General features: G+C 39.9%; 1 pseudogene across 1 annotated transcript in view; it reads right to left on the reverse strand.

The window, feature by feature from the left end:
- Positions 1 to 21652, reverse strand: part of PPP4R1L (protein phosphatase 4 regulatory subunit 1 like (pseudogene)) — a 76663-nt pseudogene that overhangs the window by 39723 nt on the left and 15288 nt on the right. The window contains exons 3-4 of the transcript NR_003505.3: positions 13815 to 13947; positions 270 to 376 (exon numbers count right to left, since the gene is read on the reverse strand). The product of NR_003505.3 is annotated as a protein phosphatase 4 regulatory subunit 1 like (pseudogene) (transcript). The remainder of the gene's footprint in view (positions 1 to 269; positions 377 to 13814; positions 13948 to 21652) is intronic.

Raw genomic sequence — 21652 nt, forward strand, 5'->3', positions numbered from 1 at the left:
GGCAAAACTCAAGAAATACCAAAGGCCTAACTGCCAAGGCAAACAGCATTCGTAGCCATTAATCATTTTAATTTTCTAAATATAAGAAAATTTCAGTCAAAATTCAAATAAGACATACATTCTTCAAGACAAAATCCATTCATGGTTAGAAACTGCTTAAAGGTTATTGATTAATAAACAGGTTTTTTAAAAAATAGCTATTACTGGTTATACATAATTTCTTAGAAATTCATAAGTAAAAAATAAAATTATACAATCCTTATACAAACCTGCATCTTCTGACAATCTGACTACAATCTCCATTACCGTGAGGAAGTCTTCTTCATTGTTACCGAAGTCCCGGAAGATATCAAGCAGCCCTCTGGCAATAATCTGCCTATGGAGACAAAAACAATGCATATGGTTATTGGGGCCACATTGACTGAAGGACCACAAGGTTCCAGGCATTGCGCTAAGAGCAGGTAAGTGCACCTGGGCACAAGACAAAATGAGCAACCTGTGTCCAGAAGGAGGACGGAGGCTACCCAGGAATGCCCAGCGACGGCCATTCCAGCATGGGCCACAGTCCTACAGGAAAGGAGGCCTGCATCTTCTAGTCTGGTAGTCATCAGAGTTTGAAAATGTCCACTTGAGAATAAGGCAAAACCTTTTTCTCATTTTTTGGCTGGTTCCTCAGGCCTACATAGGCTTAGAAGAAAAGCTCAAGACAGTTGAAGGCAACTAAGGGACCAATAAATGCAGAAGAGAAAGGCCCAAAGAGGCATCTGATGGCCTCTTAATGACTGAATGAGTAAGTGCCAACTAGAAATTCTGCAGAAATTCTCTTGGAAAGCCTTGAGAGAATTTTTAAAATTCCGTTATTTCTCCACATTTATTATTTTTACTTTCCTATCTCCCTGTGCTGATTAACCATAAAACCTGTAAAATGAGAAGGAGCTACAGATGTTTATTTTGAGGGCAGCAAGGGAAGGAGGAGCTGGGGACACTGCATCCCACTATAGGCAGAACTGGTCAAGAGAACCAAGATAGAGTCAGAAGTGGCAACTACCAAAAGGAAAGAGAAATCATTGCAGTCCACTGGCCTGAGCAATGTACAGGAGAACAGTTAAGTCAGCCCGAGACTGAGGAACAGGCCAAGACTCAACTCAGAAAAGTCTCACCACAAGATGGCAAGCAACAGAGGAATGATGTGCACTATGGCATTCTACACAGAGGAAGCTATGGCCATGGGGGGAGACAATGTGATTGTCATTGCAGGACCAAGTGATGTTGTCCCATCATAAGCATGATCTGAGCTAGAGCTACAAAAGGCCTACTGAGGAGACACGTCAAAGATCTCTGCAACAGCTAATTCCATCAGTATACTGATCAATGGAGCAGGCGGGGGGCAGGGGTACCCTAAGGTGTGGGGCCTTCCCAAAGAGTGGACCCACAAGCCCAGGAGGCCACTGTGAACTGTGGACCATCCAAAGACAAGAAATTAAAAAAGAATAAAGACTCTTTTAGACATTCAAAAAATCTATCACCAGCAGATCTGAACTATAAGAAATGATAAAGAAAATCCGATGGAAATGTGAATCTGTAGAAAGGAATAAAGAACACCAGAAGTGATAACTACATGCATAGATACACAAACTTTTATGTTATTATTTAAATCTCTTTCAGAAATAATTGACTAAGTTAAAAATAACACTTTATTATTATTGTGGATTTATAACACATATATAATAAAATGCATGACGAAATCACATAAAGACCAGGAGAGGGGAAACGAAGGCATACTATGATAAGTTCCTTACACTATACATGAAGTGGTAAAATACCACTGGAAGGTAGGCCATGGTAAGTTAAATATACATACTATAAATGCTAAGGCAACCACTAAAATAAAAAAAATGAATTATAACTAATAAACTATTTAAAAAGCAAACTAAAATCACAAAGAAGTTCAATTAACTCAAGAGAAAGCAGACAAAGAACAAAAAGGGAACAAAACAGATGTGACAAATAGAAAACAAACAGCAAGATGATATACTTAAACCTAACTGCATCAATAATTACATTAAATGTAAATGGTCTAAACATTGCAATTAGAAAAAGATTAACAGAATGGATAAAAAAAAAGAAGACCCAACTACATATTACTTATAAGAAACACATGTTAAATATACAGATGCAAATAAATAATAAAAGATGAATATATTATGCTAACAATAGTCCAAAGAAAGCTGGAGTAGCTATATTAATATCAGACAAAACAGATTTTGGAGCAAAGAACATCACCAAGGGAAAAGAGGTCATTTCATAATGATAAAGGGGTAAACTCATGAAGAAGACATAATTATCTCAAATGTTTATATGCCTAATAACAGAGTTTCAAAATACATGCAGCAAAAACCAATACAACTGCAAGGAGAAATAGACAAAAGTAAATGTCGAAGTCCAGAAACAAACCCACACATATACCAAGTAATTTTTTTTTTTTTACAAAGGTGAACAGGGAAAGTCTTCAAAAAGTGGTGCTAGAATAAATAGCCATATGGGGGGAAAAAAAATTGACTCTTATTTCATACCATAAACCAAAATTAATTCAAAATGGACCCATAGATGTAATGTAAGAACTAAAACATAAAACTTCTTGAAGAGAAAAAAAAATCTTTGTGACCTTAGGTTAGACAAAGATTTCTGAGGAGCCAAAGTATACAAACCATAAAAGAAAAAAATTGATAAATTTGACTTCATCAAAATTTAAAACTTTGCTCCCTAAACCACACCACTGAGAAAATAAAAATCATGAGCCACAGACTGGAGAAAATATCTGACCAAAACTGGTATCCAGAATATATAAATAATCCTTGTACTCTTATAACTCCATAATAAGCAGACAAACAGCCCAATTAAAAGAATAAGTGTTCATAAATGAGCCCAGCACATTATTAATACTAATAACCGAAAGATGGAAACAACCTAAATATCTGTCAACTGAGGAGTGAATAATCAAAATACTACGTATCCATTCAATGGAGCATTATTAAAGGAATGAGGTACTGATGCATACTACTACAACATGATGTAGCTTTTTTTAAAAAAAAAAAAAAAAAAAACAACACAGGGTCTCACTCTGTCACCCAGGCTAGAATGCAGTGGCACGATCATAGCTCAATGCAGCCTTGAACTCCTAGGCTCAAGTGAAACATGGATGAATACTGAAAACAGCATGCTAAGTGAATGAAGTCAGTCACAAAAGACGACATACTGTATGATTACATTTCTATAAAATGCCTGGAATAGGCAAATCAATGAAGACACAAAGTAAAAGAGTGGTTGCCTAGGGCTGGGAGATTGGAGAGGAATGGGTAGTGGTTGCTAATGGGAACCAGGTTTCTTATTGAGGTGATAAAAATGTTTTAAAATTCATTGTGGCAATGTTGCACAACTCTGTGAATATTACTACAAACCATCAACTTGTACACTTTAAAGTGGTGAAACGTACGACATGTAAACTAAATCTCAATAAAGTTCTTTTATTCTTTTAAAAAGCAAAAGATTTTAACAACTTCACAAAAGAAAATGTACAAACAGCCAAGAAATACAAGAAAAAAATTCTCAACATCTTCAGAAAACTACAAATCAGCCAGGCACAGTGGCTAACACCTGTGATCCCAGCACTTTGGGAGGCCAAGGCAGGCAGATTGCTTGAACCCATGAGTTTGAGACCAGCCTAGGCAACATGGTGAAACCCCGTCTCTACAAAAAATACAAAACTTGGCCAGGCATAGTGGCACACACCTGTAGTCCCAGCTACTCAGGAGCGTTGGGGTGGGAGGATCACTTGAACCCAGAAGACAGAGGTTGCAGGGAGCTGAGATCGCACCACTGCACTCCAGCCTGGGTGACAGAGCGAGACCCTATCACACACACAAAAAAAAACCTGTCAAGATCATGAAAGACAAGGATAGAACAAGAAACCATCACAGACGGAGGAGCCTCAGGAGACATGGCAACTGTAAATGTAATGTAGTACCCTGATGGGATCCTGGAGCAGAAAAAGAACATTAATGGAAAAATGCAGAATCCAAGTCAAATCTGTAATTTAGTTAACAGTACACCAATGCCAATGTTATTTTCTTAGTTTTGATCAATGTCACATGCTTATTTAAGCCGTAAACATTAGAGCAGTTTCCTGACCTCAGCGTTACTGGTATTTTGGAGCAGGTAAGTCTTTGTTGGTGGGGGCGGGGGGGGGGGGGCTGTCTGGGGCACGGCAGGAGGTTTAGCAGTGTCCCTGGCTTCCACCCACCAGCAGCACCCTCTGTGCCCCAAGATGTGACAACCAAAAACGTATCTACACATTGTATAAGATCCTTTGGGGGCAAAATTACCCATAATTGAAAGCCACTGCATTAGAAGTTGGGCAAAAGGTATAAGGGAACTCTCAGTACTATCTCTGCAACAGTCCTGTAAACCTAAAATTATTTCAAAATAAAAATCTTAAACACAAAACAAAACACAAGGCCAAAAATGCAAAAGCTACGATGAGGTAACACTACACTACTAGAAGAACTAAAATTATAATGACAATATCAAGTGCTGGCAAAGATATGAAATAGGAATCCACAGACATTGGTAGAAATGCAAAATTGTACAGGTAATTTGGAAAACAGTGTGGCAATTCCTCTAAAAGCTAAACATACACTTACCAGTCAACCCAGCAATTTCACTCTTAGGCATTTACCCATCCAAAATGAAAACATATGTCCACACAAAGTTGAATGCAAATGTTCATATAAGCATTATTCACAACAGCCACGAAATGGAAAACTCCCAGTGTTCCCTGAACTGGTGAATGCGATACAAAACAGAGTATCTGTACATACTCAGCAATAAAAAGGAATGAGCTATTGATAACAACAGGGATGAATTCTAATGCATTTTGCTAAGGAAGAGAAGCCAGACATGTAAGAGTACATCCCATATGACTGAATTTATATGAAATTCTAGAAAAGGCAAAATCTTTTGAAAACATCAGAAACAGGGTCAGTGGTTGCCTGGCCCTATGGTGGTCAGGGAGGGAGGGAGTGCCAGACAGCCAAGGGGCAAATAAGGGTACTTGTCAGGTGACTGAAACTTTTGAACTCCATTGTGACAATGGTTGGATTACTGTATACATTTACCAAATTCATCCAAGTGAACGATTAAAGTGGTTGAAGTTTATTGCATATAAACTATGCCTCAATAAACGCTCTTTAAACAAAGACACTGATGAGGGATAAAGTGAGGGCCATCAGCAGTGGCCTGGGGTGATCTGGAGGCCTCCCATGCAAGCAGAGGAACTGGAGCTCCTGAAGGCTTTCTCTGATCACGTAAAAAGGGGCCCCTGACTGCTTCTGTCCACTCCTCTGAGCAACCCACCATCCAGGAACAATGCATGTCATTTCTGGCCATGCATGCATCAGAAGAATTCAATGAAGTTGAAAACCCACCCTGACTTGCAGGCAAAAAAGACTAGAAATATGGAATTCTAAGGGGCAGTCCTTTGGCCCAGTATATTACAGGAAGAAATCCATCAACTCAAGCCTGTATCCAGGGAGATTTATACCACCCTCGGGATGAAAGATCAAGATCTGGCAGCCAAGAGGTTTTGGAAAGTCAGAATAGCCACTGCAGAGAAAGTCACTAATTACATTTCACTAGACCACATTCATTCAGCTTCCCTTGGGAAATCAAGCAACTAAGATCCCCAATCTGCTTCTAGGGCCATAGAACAGAGAGGCAAATCTACATCCAGCCTCAAGTGGTCACAAGGGACCTGCCCTCTTAAAGAAAGCAAGGAAAGGGATAAGAGAGGACCCCTGAGGCAGAGACAACTCCACAACAGAACAGGAGTGAGGTAAAGACTCAAACAAATTGGTGCTTTGGAACCACCATTTTGGAAAACCTGGCTGCTTTGCAATGACCTGGAGAGCCCACAGTGGATGAGCAGAGTCCTGAAGCCTCGGCCTCAATACTTCTCACTTGTTTGTTAGCTTTGTTAATAAGATGAAAGAAGAAAGCGGCCCTCTGGAGAGACAAACCCTGCCTGACTCAGAAGAGCGCAGGGAGACTCAGCGACATGGTGTGTAGCAAGCACAAAGCTGGGGAGTGGCACACTGTAAGTCCTCTACGGCGCCAGCCACTAGATTACAAGACATGCAGCTGCCAACAACAAATGAATAGAGAGAAGCTTAAATAAATTACGATCTATCTATACCCTTGCATACCATGCAACTATTTGTATGGCCTTAGTACCTCTAGATATGTACTAAGTTAGAAAGATATCCATGATACATTAAATGAAAAAAGGTGAAAAATTTTGCATATGGTATGAGCCCATTTCTTATTTTTTTTTTTTTTTTTTTTTGAGACAGAGTCTCCCTCTGTCCCCAGGCTGGAGTGCAGTGGCACAATCTCAGCTCACTGCAACCTCTGCCTCCCAGGTTCAAGCGAGTCTCCTGCCTCAGCCTCCTGAGTAGCTGGGACTACAGGTGCACGCCACCATGCTCAGCTAATTTTTGTACTTTTAGTAGAGATGGGGTTTCACCATGTTGGCCAGGATAGTCTTTATCTCTGAACCTCGTGATCTGCCTGCTTCAGCCTCCCAAAGTGCTGGGAATACAGGCGTGAGCCATCACGCCCAGCCAAGCCCATTTCTTAATACAAGTTACATTTAGGTATACATGTGCAACACATGTACACATAAACACATTCATATATACATACACTTATTTAGGAAGCAATCTAGAAGGGTACTCACCAAACTTCACAGCTCTTCCCAAGGTTGTAGTGGGGGAGGGAGGGAAACTCTATTTAAATTCCTGAAGTTGTTAAATATTTCAATGGGCATGTATTATGTTTGTGAATTTTTTTTTAATATAAAGAGGATGGCTGGGGAGGCCAAGGCAGGCAGATCACTTGAGGTCAGGAGTTCAAGACCAGCCTGTCCAATATGGCAAAAAACCATCTCTACTAAAAATACAAAAATCAGCTGGGCATGGTGATGTGTCCCTGTAATCCCAGCTACTCGGGAGGCTGAGGCATAAGAATCACTTGAACCTGGGAGGCAGAGGTTGCAGTGAGCTGAGATTGCAACACTGCACTCCAGCCTGGGTGACGGAGCGAGACTCCATCTCAAAAAAAAAAAAAAAAAAAAAAAGAGAATGGCTTAATTTTACGTGGCAATATAACCAATGTTCCCTGGAAATCCAGCCATGGAAGTATCACTCAATCACTCAGTTATAATTATGTGTTAAGCCCAACCAACTCTAGACTCAACGCAAGAAGCTTGGGATACCAGGATAAGCAAGGTCCAGGCCCTGCTCTTAGGAGCTTTACAGTCTAGGCCTGGAAGTAAACAAGAAAATTATGATGACCAGTAGGGACAGGACCCACAGAGAGTGCCCACAGGATATGACAGAAACACAGAAGAACACAGAGGGGCTAGCCAGAGAGATGAGGAGTGTGAGGATGAGAAGTTAGGCAGAAACCCCGGATGTCGGAAAGATGAGACGAGGACTTTAAGATAAGCGTGAACAGCATGGAAAGATCTAGAGGAAACCCGGGGCACACTGGGCAGCTACGGAATGCGGGAACTTTCTGTATTTCCCACTCGACTTTTCTGTAAATCTAAAATCCCGCCAAAAATAGTCTATTAGTTAAAGAAAGAATGGAAATGAAACGTTTTTTCAGATAAACAAAAGCTGAGAAAATTCACTGACAACAGTCTTGTACAAAACAAAAATTGTTAATGGAAGTTCTTGAAGCAAAAGGATACCTGATAGAAATGAGCATTTTACAAAAAGAAACAAAAAACATCAAAAATGGTAAGAAAAAAATGGCAAATATTTAAAAATCTTTTTCTTATTTGTAATTGCTTTAAGATAGTTGCTATATAAAGCAAACATAGTAAAAAGGTATTCTGAAATGTATGAATTGTGTAGAAGTAAAGTGTAGGAAAGTAACAGCGTGAAAGATGGAGGGGAAGAGGTGGAAGAACACCGTTGTGAGGCTCTTATGCAACATCTCCAACTCTACAGCATGGAAAGTGGTATCATTTTGAACATATGTCATGATGAATAAAAGAAGTATACTGTAATCCCTAGAAAAATCCATAAAAATGTTTAAGAAGAGGTACTGTATAACGAGTAAGCCAACAGTGGAAAAAAACTGATATATTTAAGGCAGGAAAAACAGAAAACAAGAATAGTCAAATACAAAATAAATACCAAGATGGTAGATTTAAACAAACCATATCAATAGTAACATCAAATGGAAATGATTTAAACATTCAAATTAAGAGGCAGAGATTGTACAACTGGATAAAAAAGCAAGACCTAATTATATGCCTTCTATAATAAACACACTTTAAAGACAGATAAGTAAAAAATAAAAGTATGGATAAAAATATACCACACAAACATTAATCAAAAGAAAGCTAGAGTGTATATATTAATATCAGACAAGGTAAGCTTCGGAAAAGGAGAATATCACTAGGGAAAAAAAGGGACATTACACAGTGTTAATAAATCAGGCCGGGCACGGTGGCTCACGCCTGTAATCCCAGCTTTGGGAGGCCAAGGTGGGTGGATCACCTGAGGTCAGGAGTTCGAGACCAGCCTGGCCAACATGGTAAAACCCTGTCTCTACTAAAAATATGTAAATTAGCTGGGTATGGTGGTGGATGCCTGTAATCCCAGCTACTCGAAAGGCTGAGGCATGAGAATTGCTTGAACCCAGGAGGCAGAGGTTGCAGCCTGGGGAATAGAACAAGATACTGTCTCAAAAAAAAAAAAAAAAAAAAAGAAATCAATTTATTTAACAAACCAGAACAATACTAAATGTGTATGCACCCGACATCAAAACTTCAAAATACGTGAAATATGTAAAACTAAAATTAAAAGGAAACGTAGATAAATCCACAATTGTCGACGCAGGTAGCAACATTTCTCTTAGTAATTTACAGAACAAGTAAACAGAAAATAGATAAGCATATATTACCCTTGACCTAATTTATAAGATATTTGTAAGATACTCTACCCAAAAAACATTGCAGTGCATTGCAACGCACATTCTTTTCAAGCAGACATGTAATAGTTTACTAAGATAGAACACATTCGGAGCCATAAAATAAATCTCAACAAATTTAAAAGAGAAAAAATACAAAGTATGTTCTCTGACCACAAACGAATTAAACTAGGAATCAATAACAGAAAGATATCTGCAAAATCCTCAAGTATCTGGAAATAACACACTTCTGAATAACTAAATGATCAAAGGAGAAATCATTAACATTAAAAATACTTGTGCTGAGAAATAACAAAAACATTATATATCAAAACTTGAGGTAACATAGTACTTAAGAGGAAATTGTACAATATAAAATGCAGATGTTACAAAAGAAAAACCAAAAAAACAAAAAACTGAGCTAAATATCCTTAAAGTAAGAAAAAGAACAGCAATTAAATCCCAAAAGTAAAAAAAAAAAAACCCAAGGAAAAAATAATACAGATTAGAGCAGATATTATTGAACTATTATAGAAAACAAACATACAACAGAAACAAAGCCAAAACTTGAGTCTTTGAAATAACTAATGAAATTCATAACCTTCTGGTAAGAATTATCTAGGGGGATAAAAAAAGAGAGAGAGGGCACAAACAACAAATAACAGGATGGAAATGGGGACACAACACATCTCACAGACAATAAAAAAAAAATTGTCATTTTCCAACCCAGAATGAAATAACAGATTTAAGCAATGATTATTTGTGAATCCTGAAATCATCAGAAGAAAGACTGGTGAGGAATTTTATAATGAAAGAATAAAACACCTGAGCCCACTGCTCAATATGAAATCTCTAAAGGTGTGACAACTAGACATTGTTTCCTGGTGTCTTGTAATAAGAATTTCACAAAACAACATATGAAGTATTGCTTAAAAAAAAAATTGAAGCAGAATATAATAAATTCTCCAAACGTAATTTTCAGTTTACAGAAAAGACAGGGAAAATGATACCATGAGAATCATGACCACCAAATACAGAATGTGGAAAATTCTCTAAGCTAATGACCGCTTCAACAAATAAATGATATGGAGAAAGATGAAACAGAGAACCATTTGAGATTAAAAAGAGTTTAAGATCAAAAGGAAAAAAACCTGTAAACAAAAAGAGACTTAAGAGACACATCTACCTAATGAAATCTATAGACCTTATTTGGATCATGACTCAAACAAATCAACCATAAAAAGGTATTTTTTAGTCAGGAAAACTCGACATAGAGTGATAAACTAGAAAGCATTGTTGTTAATTTTGTTAAATGTGATAATGATAGTACAGTTAGATTTGTTCTAAGTCCTTAACTGGATAAAATATGATGTCTCAAATTTCCTTTAAAATACACAACGAAAAAAAGCACAAAACCTCTGCAGAGAAAATGATCAGACTGTATTGAGAAACTAAAGAAAACCTAAATAAATGAAAAGATAAACCATGTTTACAGATTGGAAGTCTACACATTGTAAAAAGGGCAATACTCTCCAAATTGACCTATAGATTCAATGCAAACCCAATCAAAATCCTAATAGATGTTCTGTTTTGTTTCATTTTGTTAGAATCTGGTGAGCTGGATTTTAAATTTACATGAAAATACAAAGTACCAAGAATAACTAGTCATGCCAAAGAAGAAAAACAAGATGGGAAGACTTGTTCTATCAAATATCAAGACTCATTATAAATCTATAGCAACCAAAACAGTGTAGTATTGGCTGAGGGGACCACTGGAAAAGAGGGGAGAGTCCAAAGACTGTAAACAGAGGCTGGACTGTAACAGAGGTGGCACTCCAGAGCAGTGGGAAAAGAACATACTTTTGATAAATGACATTGTGACAATTAGGAAAATGAAGCTGGAGCCATTTTTCCTATGATAAAAATTAAGTTCAGGCAGATTACAGAACTATAGTATATCTATTTCACAGAAAAAAAATAAAGGCTTTAAAGCAATATAAAGAAATAGAGAAAAAAGCTTCTGAATGCACTATTAAGGAAAATGTCAATAAATTTAACTACATTAAAGTGAATACTTGTGTGCCTGGCACGGTGCTCACACCATTGAGGCCAGGACTTTGAAACCAGCCTAGGCAATATAGTGAGACCCTGTCTCTGTGCAAAATAAAGTAGCTGGGCATGCTCCTGTAGTGGCAGCTACTTAGGAGGCTGAAGCAGGAGGATCTCGAGCCCAGGAGTTTGAGACTCCAGCTATGATTGCACCACTGCACTCTAGCTGGGTAACAGAACTTGTTACCTTGTTACCCAAAGTCTCAAAAAAAAAAAACAAAAAATAAAAATAAAAATAAAAAACCAATAGCTTCTGGTCACCAAAAGAACACCATAAAGAGAGTTTAAACACAAGCCACCAGTTGAAAGATGTTTATCATACATAATTAATAAAGGTTTGAAATCTAGAATATACACAGAACTCCTACAAATTGATAATAAAAAGACAAACAATCCATCTTCTCCCTACCAATTCAACCAAAGATTTGAACAGGCACTTCACAAAAAAGAAATACAGATGTCCAACAAACATATGAAAAAGTGTTTAAACTCACAGTAAAGAAAATAAAAATTCAAATCACAAAGTGATATCGTTATATACACTACCAAACTACAGACTGGCTAAAATACAAAAATCTGACAATACCAATTGGCAGATAAAATGTAGGGCAAAGGTAAGGCCGGGCATAGTGGCTCACACCTGTAATCCCAGCACTTTGGGAAGCCGAGGCAGGTAGATCACCTGAAGTCAGGAGTTTGAGACCAGCCTGGCCAATATGGTGAAACCTGTCTCTAGTAAAAATACAAACCTTAGCCAGGCGTGGTAGTGTACACGCCTGTAGTCCCAGCTACTTGAGAGGCTGAGGCAGGAGAATTGCTTGAACCCAGGAGGCAGAGGTTGCAGTGAGCCAAGATCGCCAGCCTGAGCAATGGAGCGAGATTCCGTCTCAAAAAAAAAGTAGGGCAAAGGTAGGAGTATAAACTGATACAACCACTTTGGAAAACTGGCATTATCTACTAAAGCAGAAGATAAGCATACACCGTCACACAGTATTTCTTTCCTGGGTACATGTCCTACAGAAACGCATAATTGTGTGTCCCCAGATACATCTACAAGACTGTTCACAGCAAAACTCTTCTTTAACAATAGCAGATGGATAAATGTCAGTATATTCAAGAACACTATTAGAAAAAGAACAAATTCAAACTATTAATATATGCGAAATCCATAAAAGTAATGTATCCTGTATGATTTCCCATATATAAAGTCCAGAAACAATAAAATTAAATTACATTATTTGGCGGTAGCTAGATGCCAAAACTAGAAAGACAAAAAAGAAAAAAGACACCATTCAAGGTATCATCATTCCCTAGCATAAAAGGAGAATAACAATGGACTCATCCTGCAACATTAAATGGATCCATCCATAACATCCTTGTGAGCTTTCTATGATTTAATAGATGAAAGGGCTTAGCCTATATTTGGCATAGAATGTAATTTTCGTTTTATCTTTTTCTTTTTTTTTTTATAGAATGTAATTTTTGTTTTTTGTTTTTTTTTTTTTTTGAGATGGAGTCTCACTCTGTCACCCAGGCTGGAGTGCAGTGGCGTGATCTTGGCTCACTGCGAGCTCCGCCTCCCGGGTTCATGCCATTCTCCTGCCTCAGCCTCCCGAGTAGCTGGGACTATGGGCACCCACCACCACACCCGGCTAATTTCTTGTATTTTTAGTAGAGACAGGGTTTCATCGTGTTAGCCAGGATGGTCTCGATCTCCTGACCTCGTGATCCGCCCACCTTGGACTCCCAAAGTGCTGGGATTACAGGCGTGAGCTACCGCGCCCAGCCAGAATGTAATTTTTAAAAGCAAGAGCCAATGAAGGTAAGGAAAGAGGCTATGTGAGTACCATCAAGTCTTGGCAGGTGGTGTATTAGGGACTACATGGGGAAGGAAGTAGGGAAGCTCAGAGGATAGTTTAGAACAAGACAAGTCAGGGTTGCAAGTGGGGTGAATATGCACCTGTAACAGGAGAGGAGACACAGACGACAGAAGGCAAACCTGAGGGGGGCGAGGGATCAGGGACGGAGGGCCCATCAAAGGGCAGAACAGGAGGAGAGAGACTGTCTGCTGAGAAAGGAGGGGAGAATGCTTTCAGATTCACAGAAGTTTGGGTAGCACGTAAATGTAAAGGGAAGCCTTAATTTCTGCTTTCTTCAGGATATTAAGAATCAAGGTCATCTACTGAGCCAAGGTGGGCCTGGAGTCGAACCCTGCCAACACCGTACACGGTGACAACGGAGCATGGCATGACACATTGCCACCGAAGTTCCTGATACACAGCGCAGTCAAAATACAAAGCGGGCAGACAATGCTTCCAACTGACGCTTCTTGGTGCTTCTCAATTAAGGAATGCATGATTTTTCTGAGTACTGCATATGTGAAAGAAACCCAGTTAGCAATCCTAATCACTTAAACACCATGAAATTCATCACCATTTCCTTCCTGGCTTACCAGGTGGTCAGCAAAACAATAACAAAAATAATGAAAAAGCCTAATAAGATGGTACCATTCAGACAGAAGCCCAGCATCCTGGTGACAATCTGTATCCAACCTACCTCATCATCCATGAAGTCTCCTCAAAGCTGTCACAGAGAAGTGGCCCCAAGTGTCAGCTTAAAGCACACAACACAGAGTTGTCAACATACACAGGCCTGGTTGGGCTTACCGGTTGAAGGTGTTCTCGCTGAAAGCATACTTCTCCAGGCGAGTGAGTGGAGGCAGGTTATCCTGGCCTGGAATGTCCAAGAAGGCCGTTACTCTCATGTTGTCGCAATCTGTACCATAGTCTTCAAATCCATCTAAAAAGGAAGAGTGAAGGGGGGGAACCCACGCTCAAAAGTGTGCATCAACTGTGACAAGTCACACTTGGGCAAAGACATGGCCTTGTGGCATGTGTTCTACCTTCACAGCTGAAGTCTCTAAGAATCGCAACATTGAGAATTCACCCAAAATGAAATGGTCAGTTGAAGAACCGCAAAAGAAAATAATAGGTACCAGAGTAACAAAGAAGAGCCGGACGCCTTTCTTTTAGTGCAGTCTGTCTAATGCATGAGTGAAAGGAACCAATCCTCTACTGGAGAACTCAGCAAGTGAGCAGATGTACACCTCTAAGAAAGCCCTGCTGTTTAAGAAGCCCTGCTCACCACGCAGGGCTGTGCAAACAGGTTAAAGCAGTTGAAGGAAAAACAAATCAGTTTGGCCTTACTTGTTAGCAAGACTCTGACAGAAAGTCCACCCCACATCCGGTCTGTTCTAAACGCACTCATGTAGCGTCAAAGATGCCATGACATACATTCCTATCCATCCGTATCTGTGGCCCCACAACACCCAACCACACCTCTCCACACAGGTATCCAACAAGTTCCTCCAACTCATTGTGGCCAAAAATGAGCCAATTATCATCCTTCCTCTTCCTCTTTTTTTCTTTTTTTTTTTTCTGAGACGGAGTCTCACTTTGCTGCGCAGGCTGGAGTGCAGTGGCCCAATCTCAACTCACTGCAACCTCCGCCTCCCTGGTTCAAGTGATTCTCCTGCCTGAGCCTCCTTGAGTAGCTGGGATTACAGGCATGCGCCATCACACCCAGCTAATTTTTTGTATTTTTAGTAGAGACAGGATTTCATCACGTTGGCCAGGCTGGTCTTGAACTCCAGACCTCAGGTGATCCACCTGCCTCGGCCTCCCAAAGTGCTGGGATTACAGGCATGAGCCACCATGCCTAGCCCTTCTTCCTCTTTAAACCTGCTCTTTTCCCTCCTGTGCAGTGGGTAGCTGAATTCATGGGCTCTGGAGCCAAACACACCTGGAATGGGATGAATCCCACAACTACCACTCACTGCTATGTGGCCAGAGTTCGTCACGTCACCTGTCCACACTTCCGTGTTCTCATCTTGAGGGTGGGATGAGACCCCTTCCTTGTGCCATCAGGATGCTGGAGTCAGTGGGACCATGCATGGGAAGACCTGCAGGATCTGGCTGACCTTGACATTGTTCACCTCCCTTTACTTACTCCCACGTTTCACATCCCCCACAGTGTTCAGAAGATGCTGTTCCCTATCTACTCTCTCCCATTTAGACTTAAGGTCTCAGCTAGGGCGCAGCCTCTTTAGAATGGCTTGCCTTCCCACTCTCCTCACACCTCAAGTGCCCCTGGTGATGGCAACCTGAGCCAGCCTCCTGCAACAGGAAGTTCACTGTTTATCTGCAGGAAGTCCTTACACAATAAACGCTCCTGAGGGCAGAACTATGTCCAGTTACTGTTGGATTCTCCAAGCCTAGCACATAGGCTTGGTAAAATGCATAGTCTTAAAGTGAATGTACTCATTATGTGTTTAATGAGCACCTACTATGTGCCCCTGGAACATTATTAAACACATAATGAGTAAATTTACTCTAAGACTATGCATTTTACCAAGTATGCTCTCCAACAAAACACCAACCACTGAATTAACTTAATCTTTCCATCCACTCTATAAAACACACTGACTAATCCCAGGGCAATGAACACTCATAGCAAAGAGGCTACTCTCTAGGAATAACAGTGGTAAGGGGAGTTGTTGGGATGATGATAATAATAAAAATAATGGCTACATTTTTTGAGCTCTTATAATAGGCCAGGGACAGGGAAGTAGCTTTCACATGTGGTTCAATTCCCACACCAACTCAACCAAGTAAGATTTTTATCCTTGTTTTACCGATGAGCAAACCAATACCTAAAGAAGTTAGGCAACTTTCCCTCGGTCACTCACCCAGTTTGCCCTAACCAGAAGGAGGCTCATGCGCAGCTATTCCCAACAGGAGTTACCTGCTTACTAACAGTCAGGTCCTGTGCTGTTATTTCTGAACGTTAGTTTGAATTCTTCAGAAAGATTCAATAAAAATGAGTTATTAAAATATAGCTGTCAAATTAGGAGTAGATAAAACAAGTGGAAAATACTGTAAACACACTGTAAAAAGTGACAAGGGCTTACATTTGCATTGCCTGACATACAAGTCTTCTCACTCCACATAAGACACTGAACCTGGAAATGTAGACGAGGCCTTACCGGTGTGATCTATGGATGAAGGGAAAGGGTCCATGTGCCAAGCAAGGCAAGGCCTTGGCTCAGATCACACGGTCAGCCTATGAATATCCATTCTTTGATTAAAATTAGAAGTTTTAGAAACGTAGCCATCTTGGCCAGGTGCGGTGGCTCACACCTGCAATCCCAGCACTTTGGGAGGCTGAGGTGGGTGGATCTCTTAAGGCCAGGAGTTCAAGACCAGCCTGGCCAACATGGTGAAATCCCGTCTCTACTAAAATACAAAAATTACCCAGGCGTGGTGGTACATGCCTGCAATCCCAGCTACTCCAGAGGCTGAGGCAGAGAATAGCTTGAACCTGGGAGGTGGAGGTTGCAGTGAGGCGAGATCACGCCACTGTACTCCAGCCTGGGCGACAGAGCAAGACTTCATCTCAAAAAGAAAAAAAAAAAGAAATATAACCATCTTTTTTTAAGAATCCCTGATATGACCAACTTGTTCTATTAAGCAGTCATCTTCTCCTCCCATTCCTGCTAGAAAAGAGGCCATCACTGAAAGGATAAGGCAGGCAGGGAACTACCTGGAGTTGAGAGCTAATTATCAAGAGGACTCTTGCTATTTCCAAGACAGCCTGGCAGAGTTTGTGCCCAGTAAAGAGAAACACACCTGGCAGAGCCCTCCCTTCTCCCACTCCCCCACCTAGCCTTTCCATTGCTAACCTAGGAAAATAAAGATAAAGAAACAGGCTGCTGAGGACTTCCCTGAGGCTAATTTTGGCAAAATAACAGCATCAATAGTTAGTTCCAGAAAGATTAATCGGCACCTGCTCTAGAGGTGGAAATGCATCCCTCCTACCCCTCGCCCTGAAAACTAGACAGTTGGTGATGGCACTAATGTGAAAAAGTAGAGGAGTCCTACCAGGCAGGTAGAAAACCCAAAGTCAATGCAGGCAGTAATGGAAAAGAGTTCAATCTAGAGATGACAAGTTTGTGCCTAGGTACTTACTTTTCTTTGAACGTGAACCACATTTTTCCTCAACTAATTATTTTAGGCTAATAATATGAGCTTATTAAAAATTTACACTGTATAACAGCTACTCAGAGAATTTTAATAAAGAATTACACAGTTACAGAAAAAATATGTATCACATAATCAAATATGCCATTTCTCTGCACAATAGCTGCCTTGGATGAACAGGTCCACACTGAGTCACAGCCAAGCCCGATGACCAGAGTCACTGCATACGAGCTATTCTCAATGCACTTCAGAGTCCAGAAGGAATAGGCAGCCTCGATCCCACAGAGAGTTATATAGCATTTGCAGGCCCAGGCTGGAATGGACTTGAAAACGTTAAGTTTAAAGCAGTAGTTCCCAAGCTTTGGGGTAACAGACAGTTTTGGAACCTGAAGATATCTACAGTCATATACATTCAATACTTTTCATACAGGATCAGGGGTTTCAAAAGATCTTCTGAGGATCACTGTGTACTTTATGGGTTAAGAACATGGTGTTTTAAAATAACAGAAAATACCCAGACACTCTTCAAAAAACTGTGTTTAGTCAGACAACTAACAAACTTAGCAATTAGCTCCACCAAAGTATAGATGTTACTGGAGAATATTAATGATCCTACCACATTAACTATATAAAACTACACTATCAACAAGGAAATAAAAGCTATGTATAAGCCATAAAATAATGAATAATAATTTACTCTTCTTGGTTACCCCTATAAACCAGAAACTGTGCTAAGAGCTTTCTGTGTAGTAGCAGTAGTTTGTTAAATCTTGATTAAAAACCATATTAATCCCATTAAAAAAATAAAAAACAGACCAGGTAAAGTGGCTCACGCCTGTAATCCCAGCACTCTGGGAGGCTGAGGTGGGAGGATCGCATGGGCCCAGAAGCTGGGGATCAGCCTGGGGAAGAAGGTGAGACTTTGCCTCTAAGAAAAATATAAAAACTCAGTGGTTGTGATGGTATGTGCCCATGGTCCCAACTACTCAGGAGGCTGAGAAGGGAGGATCATTTGAGCCCAAGAGGTCGAGGCTGCAGTGAACTATGATCACAGCATGGCATTCCAGCCTGGACGACAGAGTGAGACCCTGTCTCAAAAAAAATTAGAAAACAAAAAAGCAGCTCAGAGAAGTTAAGAAAATTGCTACTCATAGAGTGGCAGAGTCAGAATTATTATTATCATTAAATCATTAGCCGATTCTATTACTAATATTGCTTATGTTTGTATTTCCAGAGTTCAGGGCAACCACAGACACTAGAGAGTATGGGGAAGGGCAAAGAGGAGGAATCCCAGAAAGGAAAGAGTCAAACAGGGGAAGCCTCTGTATTAAACTCTGCCCAAACCCTGGCTTGAGCCCTAAACCAAGCATTCGTGTGACAAATTCCAATCAGTACAGCTAAGGCTAAAAGAATTGAACCAAGATTTGGAATATTATCCACTCTAGGGGTGATGAGTTAACAGTCTGACCCCAGTCAATTTAAGTGCCTAGTAAAATAAAACAAAAGAAACAGAATCAATACTCTTTGGAGGCATATAGCAGAATCCAGAGGTTCTACAACATGTAACATTCACAATATCCAGGTTATACTCCAAAATTACTCAACATATGAAGAAAATGAGAAAACCTGAACTAGCTGGAAGAAAAAAAAAAATCAAAACAGAGTGACTCTGAGAGGACTCAAATGCTGGAATTACAGACAAGGACTTTAAAGCAACTATTACAATAATGCTTATGGATGGAAAGGAAAATATGCCATGAATGAGAAGGAGCCTCAGCAAAGAAACATTAATATAAAAAGGCACCAGATAAAAATTTGAGAACTAAAACAATTATCTGAAATTGAAAAATTCACTGAGTGAGTGGACTTAATAAAGAATGAAGGTGACAAAATAATGACCAAAAATTCCACAAATTTGGTGAAAGACGTAAATTTCCAAAATCAAGGATCTTAGTGAATGCCAAGAGGATAAATACATAGAAAATTGCATCTAGGTACATTAGAGTCAAACTGCTAGTAACCAAACATGATCATCCGGACAGCAGCAGAGAAAACAAGTATCATACACATGGAGTCATGGCTTGAGTGACCACTGACTCTTGACCAGAAACAGTAGAGGCAGAAGACAGTGAAACCACATCTTTTTTTTTTTTTTTTTTTTTTTTTGAGACGGAGTCTCGCTCTGTTGCCCAGGCTGGAGTGCAGTGGCACGATCTCAGCTCACTGCAAGCTCCGCCTCCCGGGTTCACGCCATTCTCCTGCCTCAGCCTCCCGAGTAGCTGGGACTACAGGCGCCCGCCACCACACCCGGCTAATTTTTTTGCATTTTTAGTAGAGACGAAACCACATCTTTAAAGGACTGAGAGACAAAACTAGCAATCTAGAACTTGACATCCAGTGAAAATATCCTCCAGGAATCTGACATTGTCCAATTAAAAAAAAATGCTAAAAATGTGTTTCTAACACACCCTTTTTACACAGCCAGCCAATGTGGACTATAAGAAATATTAAAAGATGTTCTGTAGGCTGAAGTGGAATGATACCATTTGGAAACCTGTATCTTCAAAAGGAATCAAGAGCATTAGAAACAGTAAATATTTAAAAACTATTATTCTTCTTAACTTAAAAATGCATATGATAGTTTAAAGCAAAAATTAAAACCTTGTGCTGTGGAATTTATAACATATATAGAGGTTCTATATATTTTAAACTATAACATAAAGCAGGAGCAGTAAATGGAACTATGCAGTTGTCAGGCTTCAACATTTTACATAAAGTGGTACAATATTAACTCTAAGTAGACTGTTTCTTTCTTTCTGTTTTTTGTTTATTTTTGTAGAGACAGGGTCTTGCTATGCTGCCCAGGCTACATTTGAACTCCTGAGATCCTCCTGCTTCAGCCTCCCAAGTAGCTAGGACTACAGGCGCGCACCACCAGACCTGGTTTCTCTTTTTTTTTTTTTTGAGACAGAGTTTTGCTCTTGTTGCTCAGGCTGGAGTGCAATGGTGTGATCTCGGCTCACCGCAACCTCCACCTCGCGGGTTCAAGAGATTGTCCTGCTTCAGCCTCCCGAGTAGCTGAGATTACAGGTATGCACCACCATGCCCGGCTAATTTTGTATTTTTAGTAGAGACGGGGTTTCTCCACGTTGGTCAGGTTGGTCTCGAACTCCCAGCCTCAGGTGATCCACCCACCTCGGCCTCCCAAAGTGCTGGGATTACAGGCATGAGCCACCGCGCCCAGCCCAGACCTGGCTTCTAAGTAGACTGTTTCTATCTGTAGAGCTAGACCTGGAGGTCCTTTAAACACTGGGACCATGTGATATAATGCCTGGCACATAGTACAGACACTTAATAAACACCGGTGTCTATAGAAATCACTCTACCAAGACTTTGATTACCAGGATTCAATTCATGAAAGCCTATCAGCCCCTGAGAAAGCTGAGAAAATCCAGCTTTCACAAAACCAAACCTGAGATGCAGCACCTAGCCTAAAACCACCTGTAGGTGTACCCACAATGTGAGTAGAAGGCAGCCAAAGACATTAACTAATTTGCTTCTGCTTACAAAATGAGGTATCTCAGTCTCAAATAAAAAAAGGTCAAAAACGTAACTGTTCAAGTAAAATTAATGAATTCGCACAGTCAATATAATGTACACGAATTAATCAAAAGTATTCAATCATCTTATTAATGAATTTAGTAGAACAAATTTTGGTAATTCATGTTAAGTATATAAGGAAGGGCAGAGAGAGGAAAGATGTTTAAAATTCATCAGAAATAATAAGTCTAAATAACAGGGATTTCTGTTTTAAGCAATGGAATTACAATTTTAGTCCTATAAAGAACAAAGAACCAGGCTGTCTAGCTGCTACCACCCTGGGAGAGTTCTGCATTAATAGGCCATTGGTGGCCAATCACAGCCAACGAGATCCCGCCTCCATTCTCTCACTGGTTGTTTCTATACTATCAGGCACAGCTTTGAGCCCAGCCAGCCATGCTGCAAGTGCACAGCCTGGTCACCTGGCCACAGAGTGCAGACAGCTTGAGACAGCATATCTTCAAGTGTGACACACTGAATGTCATTAAATCACACAGTGGGACAGTTATTCTCTTCTTCATTTTCCAATTAAATCAAGGAAATTCCCTTTGTCCAGGCATGTCTTGAACACTTCCCTAAGACTGGTAATCTTCCTTTTAATACAAAGCAGATCTCAGCTCAGAATCTTTTGCAGGCACTGTGTCTATATATATAGAATTTAATGTTATTTTATTTCTGTTTTACATTTTGGTTAAGTTTCATTTAGAGCAACTGATGAAAGTTTTCTAAAATGTGTTTAAATAAAAGAAGTTATTTGATATGAAGAAAAATCCAGGTGGTATTATTAAAATAAAAATAGAAAAAAGTGGCACACAAATGACTGATGTCTAAAAAATACTGGATTAGCAAAATCCAAGGAAAATATT

The sequence above is a fragment of the Homo sapiens genome, chromosome 20 (assembly GCF_000001405.40).
Source record: "Homo sapiens chromosome 20, GRCh38.p14 Primary Assembly".
Lineage (NCBI taxonomy): Eukaryota > Metazoa > Chordata > Mammalia > Primates > Hominidae > Homo > Homo sapiens.